Source organism: Homo sapiens, chromosome 7 (assembly GCF_000001405.40).
Source record: "Homo sapiens chromosome 7, GRCh38.p14 Primary Assembly".
NCBI lineage: Eukaryota > Metazoa > Chordata > Mammalia > Primates > Hominidae > Homo > Homo sapiens.
In genome coordinates, this window is record NC_000007.14 from 65,109,759 (window position 1) to 65,130,942 (window position 21,184).

The 21,184-nt window shown below is 37.0% G+C and overlaps 1 long non-coding RNA gene across 1 annotated transcript; it reads right to left on the reverse strand.

Annotated features, from left to right (window-relative positions):
• Positions 1–871: 871 nt before the first annotated feature.
• LOC124901662 (uncharacterized) lies at positions 872–13,264 on the reverse strand. Its single transcript, XR_007060368.1, has 2 exons — positions 13,198–13,264; positions 872–1,234 (listed from the first exon to the last, which is right to left on the reverse strand). It is a non-coding gene; the product is annotated as an uncharacterized LOC124901662 (long non-coding RNA).
• Between the last annotated feature and the right edge of the window lie 7,920 nt (positions 13,265–21,184).

A 21,184-nucleotide genomic window follows, 5' to 3' on the forward strand; every position in this document is an offset into this window, starting at 1 on the left:
GCATGACTTTTAATATGATTTTTAAATATAACCTTTACTGGACAATAAATTATATAGTTATCTGAGTAAGAGATATGGTCAGGAAGAGGCATTGCCTCATTCAGCTTTTCTGTTTGGTGAACTCGCATATGTTCTCCTCACCCACCAGTCACCTCTAAACCGAATTGTTCCAAGACAACAAACAGAACTCGAGTGTGTATCTTTCACCACTGGATTTGTCTTTGCTCCATAAAGCTTAATGCTTAATAGGGTTTCTGTTAGCATTTTCTCTATTTTCCCATAAAATATCACAGGCCTTCTTAATGTGGAATTATGGGTGATTTCCTTCAATCTGCATCATATCAAGTTGAGGTTCATGTTGATGGAAAGTAAAACATCCGTTTAAAATATCAGTAATGATGTTTTCCCCTCCTTTTTAGCACATGTGCTTGTGATACAAGCACATTGTAATACAATTCTAGTCTCATGCTTTGATCATTCCTAAGATGAAAATAACATTTTTAGATAAAATATCTGAGTTTTATGAGGCCTTTAGTATATGATGTGATAGAATATCAGAAGACCATACTTTTTTCTAGTTTTCCATGCAATTCTATCATTGTTTCATCTTTTCTCCTACCAGAGTAATTTTCCAAAATAGATATCTTGTCATTCTTCATGTTGTTATCAGTAAATAAGTGAAACGAAAAGCTAGATTATATAATTTATGTAGAACAAGAAAGTAGAATTGAATCTATATTCATTAATGAGACTAACCAGTCAATTACACAGATAGGCATTTTACATTTTAAGATCATATGGGCCCGTTGTCAGATATATTATTATTTATGTCTATATGGACATCACCTGTGCATATTTATGCAGAAATCAATGAGAGCTGATTTTTATTTTTATTATATATATTTTTTGAGATAGGGTCTTGCTTTGTTGCCCAGGCTGGAGTGCAGTGGTGCAATCACTGCTCACTGCAGCCTCAACCTCCCAAGCTCAAGCAATCCTTCCACCTTGGCCTCCCAAATAGCTAGGACAACAGGTGCACATCACCATGCCGACCTTTTTTTTTTAACTTTTGATAGAGACTGGGTCTTGCTGCGTTGCCCAGGTTGCTCTTGAACTCCTGGGTGCAAAGAATCCTCTCATTTCAGCCTCTTCAACTGCTGGTATTACAAGCATGAGCCACCATATGGGCTGGAAGCTGATTTTTAAAATACTGAGATCATATAGATGACAGCACCTGAAAAGTAAACACCAAGCTTTATGTTAAAAGGTGTGAGGGTATAAATATTGTTGTGGCTATTGGGGAGGAAAACATTAGTAAAACCAGTGAGTTAAAGCTGTTGCTTTAAACTTTGGTTTTAATTTAACAAATGTTCTCTGGGGCGACAGTATATATGTAACCATGCTATGGCCATTTACAGATGCAGTAGAGGGAAGAATTTCTCAAAGACAACTGTTCTAAAATTGAAATTAAACCATACTGGGTTTGAAAAGAGAAAGTCCAGAAATTACCAAGTATTTTAGATGTCAGATAAAAGAGAATGCCAGGTATGCGATGATAATCAGCAATGGTTGTTCACACAATACATCAAATCAGGATTTGAATTAGCTTTTGAATTACAAGGACAAATGGATAAATTCTTGACTCTTTAGTAGATAAATCTTATTAGGCTGAGATGTGTTTTCCCCTGTTTTTCCACAAGGAGATTACAAATTTGCAAACCTCAGCTGCTCTCATTTTATGCTCTCACCAAGCCAAAAGCTGAAGTTCATAAATCAGTGTGTCTAAGTGTTCACCAGTTATATAACATTTTGTAGTTTAAGCTAACTTTCCAACTTCCTAAATCATCACCTTCATTTGATCTTGTTTTTTTCCACTATCACTTCTTTATTGACCATATAAAGAATATAAGTAAGTTCTTATTTTGTTATTGTTCATTTTAGTCTAATTTCATCAAAATATCATAATCCTTTAATTTCATTTTAATTTCAAAGATTAAATGAAACCTACATAGAAATGAAAGATTTGCATTTGCGTTATTTTGGCATCAATTTGCTATCCTCCCTCATTCAGATAGAGATCATTTCCATGTATGTGATTTCAAACATCCAAGTGCAGTATTAAAAGCAGTTGTAAATTATGGTTCTCATTTTCATGATACAATTACTATATAAACTTCCTCTTGCTGCTGTAACAAAGTACCACAAACTTCATATCTTACAATAAATTGACTGTTAAGCCTGCAGTTCTGGAGGTCAGAGCCTTAACTGAGACTCACAGGGCTAACATCAAGTTTTGGGCAGGGCTGCAGTCTTTCTGAGGGCTATGTGGCAGAATCTATGTACTTGATATTTTTCAGCATCCAGAGGCCACCTTTATTCCTTGGAACATGACTTCATTCTTATATCTTTTTTTTTTTTTGAGATGGAGTCTCCTTCCGTCACCCAGGCTGGAGTGCAGTGGCACAATCTCAGCTCACTGCAACCTCTGCCTCCCAGGCTCAAGTGATTCTCCTGCCTCAGCTTCCTGAGTAGCTTGGACTACAGGCACGTGCCACCATGTTCAGTTAATTTTTTGTATTTTTAGTAGGGATGGGGTTTCACCATGTTATCCAGGATGGTCTCAATCTCCTGACCTCGTGATCCATCCACCCCAGCCTCCCAAAGTGCTGGGATTAGGCATGAGCCACCGCGCTGGGTCCTCATTCTTGTATCTTAAAAGTCAGTGATGTTGAGTAATTTCTCATGCTGCGACCTCCATGGTTGCCTTTCTTCTGCCTTCTTCTCTCACTTATAAGGAAGCTTGTGATTTCGTTGATCCCACCCATTTAAGATAATCTCTCCATCATTTTATTGCAACCTTAATTTCACTTGAAATCTAATTTCCCACTGCCATGCAACCTAACATATTTGTATGTTAGACTCTGGGAATTAGGACATGAACATTTTTGGGAGGCCATTCTTTTGTCTGCAGCAGACATAATCTATTTACCTGCAGATTAAAGTGTTCTTTATTTTTCTGCCTCCCCCTCTTAATTTTTTTTAAATAATATGAATTGTAGTAAAGAGAAAGAAAGAAAAGAAAAGAAAGAAAAAAGAAGGAAGGAAGGAAAGAAAGAAAGAAAAGAAGGAGGAAATGAGAGAAGGAAGGGAGGGAAGGAGGAAGGGAGAAAGGCAGGAAGGGACTAAAAAGAAAGCAAGAACACAAGAAAGAAAGAGAAAGAAAGAAGAGAAAGTGAGAAAGAAAGGAAGGGAGGAAGGAAAGGAGGAAGAGAGAATGGGAAAAGGGAGGAAGGCAAAGAAACAAAGAAAATAAATAGAAGGAAGGAAGGAAAAAGGAGGAAAGGAAGGGAGCGAGGAAGGAATAAAAGGAGGGAGGGAGGAAAGGAGAAAAGGAAAGAAAACAAGAAAGTGAGAAAGAAAGAATAAGAGAAAAGAAGGAAGAAAAGGGAGGGAGAAAGGAAGGGAGGGAGGAGGGAAGGAAGAATAAGAGAAAAGGAAGGAAGGAGAAAAGAAAGAGGAAAAGAAAAAGGAAAAGAAAAGGAAGAGGAAAAGAAGAAAGGAAGGAAGGCAAGGGAAGGGAAGAGAAGAGAAAGGAAGATGGAAAGAAGGAAGGAAGACCGCAAATATTAGAAATTCTGGGTTTGTTAGAGAATATGCCATACTGTTTTTTTTTTTTTCACTTGAAAGAGTATCTGCCATTGAAGATTGGATGTCTTGTTGGTGATATTGTTGTTCTTATCTTCCATATGATTACTGAGTTTGTGCCTAGTCTGTCCATTACTAAGACAAAAGTGTTGAAGTCTGCAAATATAATTTTGGATTTTTCTAGTTCGCCTTTGATTTCCTTCCTGTTTTGCCTCATGTATTTGGAGGTTCTGTTGTTAGCTGCGTACCCTAATTAGTAGGATGTTTACATCTTCTTGAGAATTGATTATTCTATTATCTATTATCTCTCATCTCTGATACTATTTCTTGTTCTGAACTCTGTTGTGTCTAATATCAATGTAGTCTTTCCACAGCTTTATTTTAGTGTTTCCATGATATGGCTTTCTCCATATCTTGATGATAACCTATTTATATCTCTATATATTTGGAGCAAGATATAAAATTTAGACTTGATTTTTTAAAGATTTTTCAAGATGTAATTCTTATTTATTTTTGTTCTATTTGACATTCTCTGAGTTTCCTATATCTGAAGTTTGATTTTCTGTCACTTCTTTTAGAATATTTTTGGCAGTTATTTTGAAAAATATTTCTTTTGCTCCGTTATTTTTTCCTCTTTTCTTTTTGGGATTTCAATTGTAACTAGGGTAGGTAATTTCATCTCAGTCTTATGCAGGTACTTTTTCTCAGGGTCCCAGGAATGTGGCCTTCTCACACTTCTGTTCTTTTCCTGGCTGTGTTGGTGAGCTCAGTGGTATTCCTCCTTCACCTTCAAGAGCAGTTTTGTTTTTCCTGTTTTCATACTCCCAGCATCAGGAGTATTCTAAGTGTGGCAGTTTTTGTTGCCTTCCCCTATATATTAAGTGGAATATCTTGGTCTATTTGGACTCTTATAACAAAATAACATGAACTGGGTGACTAAAAAACAACAGATATTTCTTTTTTCACACTTCTTGAGGCTGTAAGATCTCAGGTCAAGATGCTCACAAATTCAGTGTTGATGAGAGCCCATTTCATGGTTCATAGATGGTGCCTTCTTTCTATGTCCTCACATAGTGGAAGGCACACAAGAACTCCATTGAGCTTCTTTTATAAAGGCACTAATCCCATTCATAAGGGCTCGGCCCCCAAGACCTGGTCACCTCCCAAGTGTTCTGCTCTCCCTGATCTGTATCATATACAGACTCTCTTGGATTCCTTACCAATTGCTTGAGAGATCACAGTGGGTTTGGGGGGAAAAGTTTTCAAGATGATGGATCTTTCCCAACTTCTGCAGCTGTCAGCGGTCTCCCAATCTGACCGGCCCCACTTTGTCTTCAGGAATTTATTGATTATTCCAGCTTTACTTGTCATAGTGGTGTCTATTTGCATCTGTCCTATGTAAGTGCATCTGTCCTCTTTCTCCTTGCAGGTGCTTGTTTTCCCTCACATTTTGACTCAGTTCTTGGCAACCTGGTTGCTATAAAAATAAAGTCATGACTTTGAAGTTAGTTGGGTTCTTTCATTGTTGTAAGGTTAGGAGCCCTATTCCATCCCAGCTCTCCAAAACCCAGAATTTTTGGGGGGTTGAAATTTTAGGCTTTCTCTTTGAATTGTAGTTTTATCTTATTTCAGTTACAATTTGCATTTCCATAATGATTAATGAGACTAAGCTTTTTTTGTGTAGTTGACTGTACCTTTGGATTTTTTTCCCAAATCCCTTTTCATTTCTTATTTTCTTTATGGTTTTAGAAAATGTAGTTTACATAATTGCAGCTGGATTTTTTCCTCAGTTAATGGCATGCTTAGTGGAGAGAAAAAAGATTAACTATATTTCCCTTTTTAATTACTGTGCTTTTTTCTTTTTTAAGGTAATATTTCATTACATTAAATTTTAGTGTTATTCTACTGAGCTATTCCTTAAATATTATAGTATTTTGGATTTCACATATAAATTTGTAACACATCTTGAGTTTATTATGTATAGAGTAAGGCTATTTTCTTTTTTTTTTGTTTTTTAAGGTAAAAATCACATAGTATAAAATTAATAACAACCATTTTAAAGCATACAATGCAGTTGCTTTTAGTATATTCACAATGTTCCAGGACAATTTCATCATGTCCCTTCTAAAAACCCATTATCCATAAAGTTGTTACACCCTATTCTGCTTCCCTGAGCCCTAATGACCACTAATCTGATTTATATCCCAATTGATTTGCCAATTCCTGATGTTTCATCTGAATAAAATCAGGTAATATTTGTCTTTTTGTGCACTTAATGCTTTCAAATTTCACCCACATTATACCATGTATAAGTACTTCTTTCTTTGTTATAGCTAAAAATTGGGTGTCCATTTATGAGTCAACAAGCATATGGATTGTTTCCACTTTTTGACTGTATGATTATTACTGCTGTAAATATTCATGCACATGTTTGTTATTTGAGCACCTATGTTTTGTAAGATTAACAGCTGACTTAACAGAAACAATGGAAGGCAAGAGGCAGTAGAATAATATATTCAAAAGATGCAAAGGAAAAAAAACTGTCAGCCACCAATTCCTTATCCAGCAATTATTTTTCAAAAATGAAGATAACACAAAGACTTTGCCAGATAAACAGAAATATTAACTGAAGTTGTTGCTGCCAGACCTATCATACCAAAAAAAAAAAAAAAACCAAAAACACCAAAATAAATTCCTAAGGCTAAAAGCAAGTTACACAAGACAGTCATTTGAATCCACATTTTTAAAAAAGCACTGGTATAGGTAATATTAACATTATAAAAGACAGTAGAAATGCATGTTTTCTCTTTATCATAAATTGTTTATAAAATAATATGTGTATAATGGCCGGGTACGATGGCTCACGCCTGTAATCTCAGCACTTTGGGAGGCTGAGGCGGGTGTATTACGAGGCCAGGAGATCGAGACCATCCTGGCTAACACAGTGAAACCCCGTCTCTACTAAAAATACAAAAAATTAGCCGGGCGTGATGGCGGGCGCCTGTAGTCCCAGCTACTCAGGAGGCTGAAGCAGAAGAATGGCATGAAGCCGGGGGATGCAGCTTGCAGTGAGCGGAGCTCACTGGAGTGGCACTGGAGTGCCACTGCACTCCAGCCTGGGTGACAGAGGGAGACTCCGTCTCAATGATAATAATAATAATAATATGTGCATAATGTATTGCTGAGTATTTGACATGTAGAAATGTAATATGTCTATAACATATTTCCCAGTAACATCAAAAAGGAGGTGGTTGGAAGAAAAATGTATCGTGATAAGATAATCACTCTAGATGGTAAAGTGATAATTACTAAAATGTATTGTTGGCTTTGTAACTTTAATAGATGTAATGTGTAAAGTGATAATACTTTCAAATGGAGGAAATAAAAGAGATTTGTATAAGAATGATGTTTCTATGTATTACTAAAAGTTTACTAGTATAAATTGGAAGATGATTTGAGTAATTAATTTTCCATATACCTACATGGTAAACTTACAACAACAACAAAAATTCTCAAAAATATATAGTAAAATATTTCGTTAGTAATCTAAAGTTCCCTATTTTAGAAAATATTCATTCATTGCAAAATAAAGCAATAAAGAAAAATATTTGAGAAATATACAAAACAAATAGTAAAATGGCAGACAAATAGAATTATACCAATTATAATATTAAATGTGAGCAGATTAAAATCCAATCAACAGGCAGAGATTGTCAGACTGGATTAAAACAAGTGATCCCAATATACGCTGAGATGCAAGGATACTAATGGATTGAAAGTAAAAAGATGACAAAAAATATGCAAAGAGCAATCGTAAAAACACTGAACTCATTATACTCATAACACAATATAGACTATTAAAAATGTGAATAGGATTTTTAAAATTTTTATTGTAGGAATAAGGGGGTCAACGCTTTAGGAAGACATAGCTATTACAATCATGTATGCACAGATTTGAGCTAAATTGTTTCCTCTATACAGATGCTGAAATCCTAACCACTGAATATGACCTCATTAGGAAATAGGTTCCTTGCAGGTGATCAAGTTAAGATAATATGAGATGAGCCTGAATTCAATATGACTGATGTCCTTATAAAAAGAAGAAATTTGAGTAGAGGGAGACATACACACAGGGAGAGTTCCATGTGATTATGAGGGCAGAGGTTAGCCAAGGAATGCCAAAGACTGCCACAAAACCACCAGAAGCTAGAAACAAGGCATAGAACAGACTTTCTCTCGTAGCCCTTGAAGGGACCATCCCTGCCGACACCTCAATCTCAGACTTTTAGCTTCCAGGACTATAAGGCAATAAATGTATGTTGTTCAAGGCACCCAGTTTGTGTTACTTGGTTATGGCAGCCCTAGAAAACTAATACATGAACTAATAACAAAGCATAAGAACATGAAGCAAAAATTCACAAAAGAGGAGCATCAGCAAAATGGCAGTGGAGACAGCTGCAATCTTTCATTTCCCCACAGAAACATCACACAACTAAGAGAAACTGTCCGAATAAACTTTGCCAAAACTCTGGAAAATGGTCAAAAGATTACAACAACCAAGTGAAAGCAGACTCAAGGAAAAGACAACTGGAAAACTTTACGACATTTTTAACTTGCCTTTGCCCCAGCAAATTGGCAGTTCTGAAGTGTCAGAAGCCCACGTTCCCAGTGAGGAAGCCTGGTCCATCGCCCAAAGGAACAAGAGAAGATCTTACCCGCAAATTATTATGTGTCTGTTCTGACTGGTCTGGGGGATACCTGAAGGACTAGTGAAAGGCTTTTTTTTTTTTTTCTGTGTTGCTAGAATACAGAACAGATAAGGAATGGACATTATTAAGAAACTCAGCAAGGAGACCTAACAAACCACAGACGCTTAGGGCAAAAATTAGAGTTTACACATATAGTAGATCACCTTCGGCACAGGAAGAAAAGTTGGAGAAGAGTATTTGGAAAACTAAGACATTCAAAATCATTCACGTACATGGGAGAGTCTAGAAAGTCACATGTATGCATAGGTTAAGCCACATGATGACAAATGTCATAAGAAGAGCCTACACTTTTACCTTGGCCGATTCCTCCCCTCAGTGCAAGCTCTGTGCAAGAGTGAACTTGAACTTCACTCAGTGCAAGAGTGAACATACACTTTGTGCCGGCTTTAAAGAACCCAGCACAAAGCCAGTCTGCATGGCCTAGAGACATATTTTGCTGGCTAATGATTACTTGTTTTTCTTTTTGTTTTTGTTGTATTTGCCTGTTTGCTTAGTTCCTGACATACAAGAAAATCACTGTCAAAACATTAGCTTAACATTTGTTAAGGAAACAAAAAGACTTCGGTGACCGCACCTTATAAAGCAAACAGTTTTGTAAATCACTTTGGAAAATTTCACTAAAAATAGAAACTTTAACAATATAATAAGTAAATAAAATTTAGAACCACAAAACATTAGTGTGTTTGTAGGGGGGGGTCTGCCCAGAGTAACCACATAGTAATTATAATTATTATAATGTCCAGTTTTCAAAAAAAGTTACAAGGCATACAAAGAATGGGAAAGTATGGCTCATTCAAAGGAACAAAATAAGTTGACAGAAAATATCTCTAAGGAAACCCAGACATCAAACTTACTACACAAAGACTTTTAAACAACTCTCTTAATTATACTCAAATGTCAAAAAGAAAACATAAACAGAGAAATAAAGGAATTAGAAAAAATATTAAAAAGTAGGAATATCAACAAAGAGATAACAGAAATTCCTGAGTGGAAAACTACAATGATAAAAATTAAAAAATCAACAGAGGGATTTAAGAGTACATTTGCACACGCAGAAGAAGTCATGAACTTGAAGATAAGAAAATGGAAAATACTGACTCTGAGAAACAGAAAGAATAAAAAATAAAAAATGAGCAGAGACTAAGGAATCTGTGGGACACCATCAAATAGACCAACATTCATATTCCAGAAGGATACATTATGTTAAAAACTTTACCATTCTTTCTTTCCACCTTTCTTTCTTCCTCCCTCCCCCTCCTCTTTTTACTTTTCTTCCTCTTCCTTTCTCTTCTTCTCTCCTTCATTATCCCTTTCGCTCTGTTTCTTTCTCCCTTTCTCTTTTTTCTTTTCTTTCAACTTTCCCAATTACTAAGAGATGTTTAAATACCCTTACCATGTTAGTAGATATGGTTATTTCTCCCTTTAGTTCTCTTTTGAGATTTATAGTCATTCTAAGTAAAGAGATAACCCAAACATAAGCCTCACAAACAGGCTTCCATACCATTCTTAATTTGGTCCTGTAATTCTTCATTGCTGTATTAACTTTCTGATGCTTTTAAGGATGTTTTATAACAAATTGTTTAGTTTTTTCCAATGGAATGTTTATTCTGAATTCTCTAATTCATATTGTACGTATATAGGGAGTTTAATATAAAATTATTCAACTAACACTTCTGAAAGAATGTATTTGTGCATTTAACAAATATGTTAATCCTCAAACTGTTATTGGGCAGCTGAGCATACAGCAGTAAAAATAGCATAATTTTTAGGTGTACAATATTTATGGAATACATTACTGGAACAAATAAATAATTTAGTTAATGACATGACAAAGAACAGTTGTATACACTATAGAGCATAGTAATGGAATAATGAGTGATTACAGTTATTAATATTAGGTAGAAAATGAAGGGTATCTTTGAGAGCAGAACTCAAGGAAGCAAGCAATTCACCTTGTGAGGAAAGAGTTACCTGTGGATAAAGAAGAAACTGAAAAATTTACAAGTCAAGACTTTTTGAACAAAAACAAAAATATGACTATTAGTCACCAATTCAGTACAGTGAAAAAAAATTTGAAGAGATATCTTGGAAGTAAACCATGTTGTGGAAGAGCATGTAGGGTTTTGATAATCATGGGATGATTCTGAATTAATTTTAAATGCGATAGGAATGTATGAGATAATTTCACCAGAGAATAACATGATTGTGTTTGCATTTCAAAGGGGTGTATCTGGTGCACTGTGTAGAATAAATGGTTATGTGAGCAAATAAATTGGGAGGCTATTGTAATCCAGAGAAAAAAGGTAGTGACTTAGGTGAGAATGCTGTGAGTATGAGTGGTATTAGTGGTGAGAAGTCGTTAGGCCAGGATGTATTTCATAGGACTGGCCAAGAGAACTGCAGCTAAATTGGAGTGTAGGGAGTGAAATGGAGAACTCAAAGATGACTCTCAGCACTGGAAGGTGACATCTGTCACTGAAGCATGCTGATGCCTCTTATTAAGAGAGTTACTTGGGAATGGCAAGATCAAAACTTCTCACTTTCAATTTTATGAAAAATATTGTTTTCAGAATGAATGACTTTGGGATCAGAAAGCCATCATTCTAATTGATGGTTCCACGACTACACAGGCTCACACTCCTAAGAGCAAAAGTAAATCATCACAAAGGTGCTTCCTGATAATTCTAGAGAATGGAGAATTACTGTAACATCTTTCTGATTTTAGGAGAGGTAGCAGTTCCCTTTTTAGCCTAAACGCTATTTTTTTTTAAAGCTCAGCCAAGAGACTCCATTGTAATTTTCAAATATGTGTAACTTAAATTCTCATATTAAATACCACTATGCTTAAATTAGTCAAAACATTTTCCCCATCTACAACTCTATCTTTTCACTGCAATCATTTTCACAAAAGTGACTGCAGCTAACAGACCCTAAAAGGGGAAAATCTAGGGTAGGTTATCTGATCTAGTTAGTTTTGAAGACAGGATCTAGAGATTATTTCACATGAAATAGGTCACCTGAAATGAAGTGTTTACTGAAAACAGCTTGGATCAGCCCAGTTTTCTACCACTGAACCATGCATTTGGTTTAAAAAACACAACAACTCTAGGGAATATTTGCTGCTTCCAACTGTGTTGAAGGTGTAAAAGAAAAGAGCATAAAATTATAAATGATCGTCTGAGGGCTTTATAGTCTTTGCTCAAGAGACTAGAGTCTTCCATTCTTAACGAAACACCCAAATATCTTAATAATCGGGCAAAATCTAAATATCAGAGAGATAATTTTATCTTGAAGATTGTTAAATTATAATGGTGATTCACTACCTTGCCACGTCTCTGAGTCAAAAATTAGATCTTTGTTTAGGAATCAATAGTACTCTGCAACTTGGAAATAGGAAGATTTTAGAAGACTCAAACATTGACTTTCTTGTGTGCAAAAAAAAGACGTATTGAGATAAGACAAGTCTTTCCTTGCAAGGATACCTCTAATGCTCATACACCACCTCCCCTGACGTTAATATAACTTCCAGATCACTAACCAGTGTCAGAGAGCAGCCTATGCAACTACAAATTCAAAAGATGTCGAACACAGGGTCAAGCCTAGAATAAGAAGTCTTAGCTAATTAAGTATGCTTTTTTCCCCAGATCCATATTAACAAAAACTTGGATATGTCAGAGAATGCATTCTAAGTTCACTCAACCTAGGAGGGACAAACATAATTTTAAATTAAGAGCTGAAGCATTCTTGTCCTAACAAAAAGCAAGGAAAACGAAATATCACACCGCAAGAGGGATTTCACAAGTTAGTGTCAACATCCAAACCTTAAAATAGGCAAGGAAAATGCAGATTCACAATTAACTCTTGTACTTGTTTTGTTCAGAGAAGAGATGGTTCTGAGAGAATGACAGTGAATTAACCCTAGCTGGTTTAGTTGGTACTTTCAATTGCTGCTTCTGATAAACTCCTTTAGCTAGAATAAATCTATGAGGATTTTGGCATGTGGTATTAGAGATGGTTATTAATTTTTTCCTCTTATTTGCATTGTTCAATGTAGTAAATACTAGCTGTATATGGCTACTTAAATTCAAATTAATTACAATGAAATATACTTAAATATTGAATTTTTTAGTCACTGTCGGTTCATTACTGAATATCTTCAGCTAAGATTTCCCAACTAAATACACTAAGAGGTGGCTTAGTTAACTGGTCCTCCACAAATATCGAGGCTGTTGTTAACTCCTGATATATTCTCTGCAAATAGTATATTCATGAACAACCTCCTGAAACCAGCAGCCTAGAGATAATTTTATAAATTGGACACAAGTTGGAAATCTATACTCTTAAAGTTTTTGAAATATCAGCTTCCCAGGGAAGACAATCAAATTCATAAGATATGTTAGGACAATTTAACTCAAGATGTTCAAAACTGAAATGACATATTCTACAATTTGTGATAAAACCACCCCCTAACAACTTAAAGCAAAACAGGGATTGACCTTAAAGACCTGCCTTTTCCTCATCCCCTAGCCAATCAGTTTTCAAATCTTGCATTTTATTTTGAAAGGTCTTTATTCCCCTAGTCTCTTGTTTCTAGACTTGGCACATGTTTAAGTTTGTTACCTCTATCTACTGACTTTCCTCTCTTCAAACAGTATCTATGCCTGCCAAATGTGAACATACAAAAAACAAATCAGAATGTGCCATTCGGATTTAAACTGCTTATTAGTTAATACCCTCAAGATAACATCTGGGTTCTTAGCTGCACTGAGTCAAGCCTACTTACATCTTTTTTTGTCTTCGGCTGCACTTTTCCTATCACATCACACTCCAGCAATGCCAAGCCGTGCCGGCCTTCTACCCCATTTCCACTATTTTGCCCCCGCCGCCATGGCTTTTTGCCCCCACAGCCGCGGCTTTCTCCCGCTGCGGCTTTCTGCCCCCACACCGCGGCTTTTGCAGCTTTTTGCCTCCGCCGCCGCGGCGTTTTGGTCCCCGCCGCCGCGGCTTTTTGCCCCCGCCGCCGCGCCTTTTTGCCGCCGCGGCTTTCTGCCCGTCGCGGCTTTTGGCCCCCCGCTGCCGCGGCTTTTCGCCCGCTGCGGCTTTTTGCATTTTCTAAAAAATTATTACCTTATTAGGGTTTTTTTTTTTTTTTTTTTACCCTGCAAGAACATGAGCTTTATGTAGGAAGAGATTTTGTTTCATTCACAGCTGCATCTCAGTGCCTTGGGTGGCATCTGGCACAAATAGGCTTCCTTAAAATATTTGTGGAATAAATGAAAGAATTAAATTCAGCTTATTTTCTGCTCTTTGTCAAGCACTAGCTATTAGATGTCAAGGACATGTTCGTGAGCAAAACGAAAATGGTTATTGTCCTCATGGGGCTTATAGTCTAATTGGGAAGGTGAATAATTTAGCACAGTTCCTGCAATGCAATGTGTTATGTTAACTGAATAGCCAGCATATAGCAGGGAGAACTGATGTAGCCTAAGGGCGAAGATGGGTGTCATTGAAGTTGAGACTAAAATATGAGCAGAATTAAGAAAAAGAGGTTATCAGTAGTAGTATTATTTTAACCAGAGGGTGGCACAAAGAGCAGTGGGCAAGAGAAAGGATGGCAGTTGTAGAGACTAGGAGAGGGGGATAGTAAGAGAGTAAGGATAGAGACCTAGGCAAGGGACAGATCATATAAGACTTTATATGTGTCAAGAGGCAGTTGAAAAATGTTTTGAAAGTCAATGAATGGGCACCAGAAGGTATTAAGCAGAATAATAGAATCACCATCTTAGAAAGATTATTCTGGCTGTAGTATGGATAATGTATTGGTGAGGCATAACACTGGAGGAAGGGAGACCCATGAGATACTACAGTAATTTTCCAGAAATGATAGTGGCCCAGCCTATGATGGTTGCACTGTACTAGGAATGGACAGAAGTAGATGGATATATTAATAAAAAGACATTTTAGGGATATATGTAGGGCTTGGCAATTAATTGGATGTTTAAGGAGAGGACAAATCAAGGATGATGCCTTGATTCTTGGCATGGGAAATTCGGTCATTGATTGAAAGAGCATTCCTGATATAATGAATGATTGGGGAAGAGGGGGAAGGAGGATGATGAATTTTGTGGGATATACTGAGTTTAAGGAGCCTATGAGATATACAGCTGCAGATGTCTGGGAAAGGTTAGTTGGTTATGTGAGTCTGAAGCTAAGAATACAAGGTCTTGCTGAGACAGAGAATTGGGGCCTCACTAGTATATTAATGGGACTTGGTGAGACAGATTCAGAAAGTATGTGGGGTGGAAATTGCAGAGGGCCTGAGATAGAGCCTTGAGGACTCAGAAATGTGTTGAAGGAGAGGACCCTGGCATTCCAGTTTCTCTAGAAATCGTTTTCCCTGTCCATAAGTGGAGCCCCTCCGGCCATGTCTCTATTCTACAACCCTGATCCTCTCCCTGGTGTCTCTTCAGCCACAACTGATTGATTTAACACTGAGCTCTTCACTAAAGCTAAATTATCAGAGTCCTTCCGAGTAATATCTAAAATGGGAGTGAAAGGAGGAGGATCATTCTCTCTCAGGGGGTGGGAGGCAGTAGTTTGAGGCTGTGAGATATGAGGCTGGGAAGTTTCCACCACAAGGGGGAAGCTGACCTGGAAGAATAATACTGACTTGTGCAACAGAATAAAGGTGGCAGATGGAAAGAGTTCTGATGGTGATGAGGACCTTAACCAGGCTTTTCTTGTAGATATGTGAGATAGTTCAAGGTTCTCCTAATTATGTTTTCCCATTTTTAGCTAGCAACCTAGAGTCCAGACTAGTACATTATAATAATAGTTGCCTCATAGAGCGGTTGGGAAGTTAAAGGAAATAATATGCATAAAGATTATTGCCTGCTACATAGGGAATATAACAGATACTGTTGCTTACTGATTTAACAACTTCCTTTTCTTTGAAGCCAGCACTGTCTAATAGAACTTTCTGAGGTGAAGAAGATTTTTCCATATCTGCATTGTTTAATAGAGCAGCCATTAGTGACATGTGGCTATTGGTCACTTGATGGAATATGGCTAGTGCAAACTGAAAAAATTGAATTTCAAATTGTATTTAACTTTAATTACTTTACACTTAAATGTAAATGTAACTTTGATTTCTTTACATTTAAATGTGGCTAATGACTATCATATTGGACAGCAGAAGTCTAGGGTGATAGACCTAAAGAACAACAATTTTTAAAGCCATTTTGGATTGGATTTTCTATCATTTGCAGCTGCAAGCATCCTAACTAATACTATGTATTAAAAATAAGTGGAAATGATTTATTTAACATGGCATGAACATCCCTCATTTTAAGATGATATTAAAGAATTAAATTTTTGTTTTTATATAGAAATTCTGAATTAAGTCAGAAGGTGAATGTTTGCCATACACACAAATTATTAAAGTAATTTCTCACAGGTTTCCTAAATACCAACTTCTCAGTCAGTGAATATAAAATGTGACTCGATTTATTAAAATTAAAATGATATACAGCTTTTCAACAACATTTCATTCAGATATATTTCTACATAAGTTGCAGAATTATAAAACACACATACTAGAGATTGTCCCTAACTTTATCAAAATAATTCTCCTTTGGGTTCCTTTAACAACATGCCCTCTAGTCTACCAAAATATTATTTTACAGATGGTGGGGGTGTGCTACTTGCAACCCAGACAGACAATAATTCAGCTAAGCATTTTTCTTTGCAGTAAGTGAAAATCTGTTCAAAGTGCTGGAAGTTTTATCAACTGGACCATAAGACCCAAGAGGAACTAAGTGTTTCTGTTACGCTTTCTGTGTTTAATAATTCCCAGCCTTGTTAGTAGACACTCAAACACTGCATCCTAGCTGTGGAATCTTGGGTAGGTAACATAGTCTCTGAGAAATTTTGATAAATGCTAATTTTCCGTGTTTTTAGATTTTGGTGGTGAGACTGGTGGTTGCTACCTCTATGCCTGTCTTTCACAAAGGTCACTCAAATTGCTCTGGTTTCTTTTTATGTTACCAAAATGCTCTATAGCTAAACTATTGAGCTTAAATGTCAAACTTGCATTATGTTTAGAAATGGGTACTTATCTCTTTATGCACCTTTCCCTTACACCCCAACGGTGGGCCGACACAGGATATGGTAGAGGAGTTAGTATTCTGACAAATAGGTGATGTCATTCCACCCATGTATCACTTTCCATTAAATCTTCGACCCGTATATAACCTTTAGCTGCAGGTTTGTTTGCTTACATCACTGTGATCAAATGGTTAGAACTGTAGATTTTCATTTGGGAAAATGATGATTATTTTTTATTAAGGACATTATTGCTGGTTTGAATTATCCTTTTGTTCATGGTTCATGCACAACAAAGCTTTCCCTAGCCCTTCTGTGGGAGGTGGAAAGATGCTCTACACCTGCCTCCTACCCAGATCTTTTTCAGAAAGAAAATAGACAGTGCTAGCTAAGCCGTTGGATGGGAGCAATATTCAGTTCTTTGCCAAGAGAGATCCTAGACTCCGGATACGCCAATTCAGCAAACCTCAGGGAGACTATCTAAAACTGAAAAAGGGCTCAAGAATCCATCAGAATATGAGATAATTTAAATAAAATTTGAATCCTACTCGCCAACAGAGAACCAGAGGACATTAGAGAAGGAAGGAAACTTGGAGGTCATCGTGTCCGATATTTTGCTGAGCGTCACCTCTCTGGCTGATGTAAAATGAGGACAGGGAGTACATAGAAACATTTCGGTTTTTCTGATTCAGTAGTACTCTTGAAGGCCGTTATTGGTGGTGCAAAATGAGGCTTTCTCATTGACTCTAAATAGGCTTATTAGCAGCACACAGAAGGATTTCCACTGTGATCTTTTCTTTGTCCCTAGTCAGAGTGAAGGCATAGGTCTGAAGCAGGCTGATAGCTTTGGAAGTGAAAAGTACTGGCAGGCTGAGGGCACAGAACGGGCTGGCTGCCAGTGTTGGGTCCAGCACCCTGAGGAGTGTCATTTGTCGGAGCCACTTTTATGAAACAGAAGCCCTCTTTTGTGTATTTGTACCTGTGAAAGGGAGCAGTGGTATAGCTGATCCAAAGTAGCAGAAAAACAAACAATTCATATTGACTCAGGATGCTCACCTACCCCCTCTTTTGCAGGAGTGTTAGTTTGCGTGTCAGTACATGGCCAGCCTCCTTGGATTCTGGCATGATGCTTTCCATAGGGGTTTCATTAATTGGTGCAAAAGTTTATTTCAGTAGAGTCCAGGAAACTGTTAGCTTTTTGTTCTCTGCCTAATGACAGAAAATGTCCCTGTGACTGATTTCTTTGTGGGACCAGTCTGCATCATTCCTAAGACTGACACAAAGCCCCGCTCGAGCGTGTGGGATGAACGGCATGACTCACACATTCCCCTGGAGGACTGCAGGTTTGATTAAATGTTTAAATGACATTTTAGGACAGATGATTATGAGGATGGGCAAACAATTTGTTCTTTTAATTCTTAATAACTTCAGTGTGTATTTGGGCGGGGAGGTATATGTAGACAGTTTGGAGGAGTGTGAACAAGAGACTTGGGTAATCACTGGAGATAAGGGTGATGATGATGATAATTTGATATAAATAAGCAGAGAGTAAGATTTGTCAAAAAGGGGCAAACTCATTGCTGTTCTCAATATCTCCCTTCTTTCACTTCAAACACAGACACTCACAGCATGTTCTGTTTCTGATAACTTCCTAATCACACAGGAGCTCCAGGATTTCTGAAGGACCACAGCCCTGTGGCCAAAAATCTTTTTTCCTTGACTGTTCTCTGGGCAGCTCAGTAGTATCTTTAACATGGCAAATATAAAGATAGTAGATTCACTACAAGGACACTTCGAGAAAAATACTACCTGCCTTTGTAAACCATACACAGTCTTATTATTCAATTTGTCTTTATGGAAGCTATCAGTTAGCTACAGGTTTCCTTTCCTATGTCTGATGTACCTATCTCTAGTTGATTCTTTCTCTCTAACTCTAGTTCTTGAAACACTCTCTGCTGGTTTGATTTTCGGGTGCATTCATCCTCTTTTCAGATTCCAGAATGAAAACTTCCTTTTTGAGACACCCAGATAGACTACCTCTTCCTTAGTCCACCTGGCCCTTATCCACATCCCTTGAATGAGTTTTCTTTGTCTGGACACATTTCTGAAGTAATGCTTCTCTGCACTCCCAAAATATAGCTCTTCCTTCTTTCGGCCTTTTGCTGTGTTTTATTACATTATTTCATTGCCACTCAGAATAAGCACTAGACAGACGTCTAAGGTTTAACTTTACATTTTATATATTTTATTATATCAAAAACTGGTCACATATAAACTATAGTACTTGGGAATTGAGGGTATTTCTTGAGTATTACAAGAAAGTATTACTTTCTTGAGAAGATATTACTCAAAAATATATACATTTTGGATAAAGAAATTTTGATAGTATAAGATGAATTAGCAATGATGCTTTTCAGAAAACACGTATGCAGTAACTTCATTTATATGACCATGTTATTAATCGGTAGACATTAATGGATTTATGTAGCCTGTTCAGAAATTAATGAAGCCTGTTTATTCTGTGGATTTTGTTATTAGCTCCTTCCCTCTTCTTTTGTCTTCTTGGCATCACTGTTGACATCACTGATGGGAATCCCACTACTGCAGCCATTGCAAGTGTTTTTGGTGATTATTATCCACTTAGGCACCTTTGTGCACTGGATCTCTGATCAAATTATTTTGAAATTTTAATATGAAATACATAGGAGAAAAAATTGAAAATGTGTAGAGGTAGGCAAGCTTTTCTTTGTTAAAAAAGCGTAATTTAATAGAGTAAGAGGTGTGAAATATGTCAGGAATTTTACTAACATAAAATTTCATCATTTGTCCAGTTGTGTACTTAATGGATTCATGTTAAGTATACAGTAATTCCTGGCAATAATGTGGGGCAGCTCAGATTTACTTTTCAGTGCATGTTAGTATGTAAAGTGACCCCTATCTTCAATATCTCTATGTTTTAACACCTGCTTTGTTTTTACAATAGAGGCCCTTGTTTGGAACAAAGCCACTTAAGTTAAGCTGAACATCATTGTACCTGCACAGTTACCTGGGTTATCTGTGGTTGTGATGAAAATTACACCACCATAATCACCCCAGGCTACTTACAAGCCACCTTCACAGAAATGATACTGTGCCAAGTGCCACAAAGAATATCAAAATGCAGCCCCTGCTTCAGGCACTTATGTTTCCAAGGGGAAAAAGAAACTGGCCTTTGGATTTAGATAAGAAACTTTATTGTGATTACAAATTGGATTTCCTGTCTTTATTTCAGGAAAGTTGTAGAAGATAGCTAGAATTGCCCTTTCTCTCACCCCCGGAGGGTTTGAAACCATTCTTGAATGAGTAAATGTATTCAAAAATTTAAAATTAAATCAGATTTGTTATATGGAATCATTTAAACCTAATTTCTTAATTAAAGGCATTTTAAGTTCACTTTCTGTTCCTTAGGTGTAAACACCTCAAGCTACAAAAAACAAGAATAGATTCCACTGCTGGGGTGAAAAGCCACGACTTTTCTTCCTGTGTTCTGTTTCCCAGGCCTATCAAAGATATTTAAGTACTGAGTTAGGTCTGGCCAGGGAACTCCCCTGACTTCTTTAGGGGCACAGATGATAGGGAAGAAAAGAGTAGACTGTGGGGTTAGTCTTGGATTGATTTCTATACTCCCCTTTGATGTTGATAGCTGCTTCCTGTTAGGAACTTCTGTTGGAAGCATACTTCTTACCTGAAGAAAGTTCTGAGTTGAGACAGTTCTACCTTGACTTATTTACCAAGGCTCCTAAACCATATAGCACATCACTATGAATACATTCAGGGTGGGGGCAATGGATCCTACCCAGATCCCTGTAAAGCCAGCGTGGTTCTGCAACCATCATTCACGGATAAGGACCAAGACTGAGCTGCTCTGGTTGAAGAAGCTGTTGGATGATACGGGGTTTGTGCCACAGTGTGGTGAATTCATTTTCCATGATATGCTGGGCTCACTCTCAGCAAGGCCAGCTGAAAGCTGAGTCTGCTTTGGATGCAGAGGTACGTAGTCAGTGGCTGTGCACAGGACGGGACTTTGGGATGTACAGGAGGATATATTATCCTTACAAATACTTCCTTCACCTGTTTGCCGATGAGCAAGACTCCAGGAATAGGATACAAGGCCCCTAACTTGTCTTAACTCTCTGATTAGGTCAGATCTCCCTACTGTATGCCCATAGTGCACCATACTCATTTTAGCTTTTATTACAGTTACAGTTGTACATTTATTTGTGGGGTTGTTTGATGGATATTTATCTCTTATTAAATTGTAAGCTCCATGAAGATAAGGAGCATATCTTTTTGCTTATCTTTGTGGCCACTGCGCCTGTCACATAGAAGGCACTGGATAATCCTTTGTTAAATGAATAACTAGACCTAAAAAATACTTCAAGGTAGGTGATGCAGTCATTAAGTTCACACTACAATGAAAGACAGTTCTTCCCAACAGGACATTATATGTTTTTTCTACTGTCATTTCTATTTGCTAAATTGACTTTGAGTTTGAGAAATTGGGCTATGACGCAATATGTGCATAAAATGTTCAACAAATACTGTGTTCCATTTTTTTAAAGCAAGGATAAGGATGAAAAAAATAAAACGATGAAAGAGTTTATTTAAGCTACTGATATCCAGTTGTT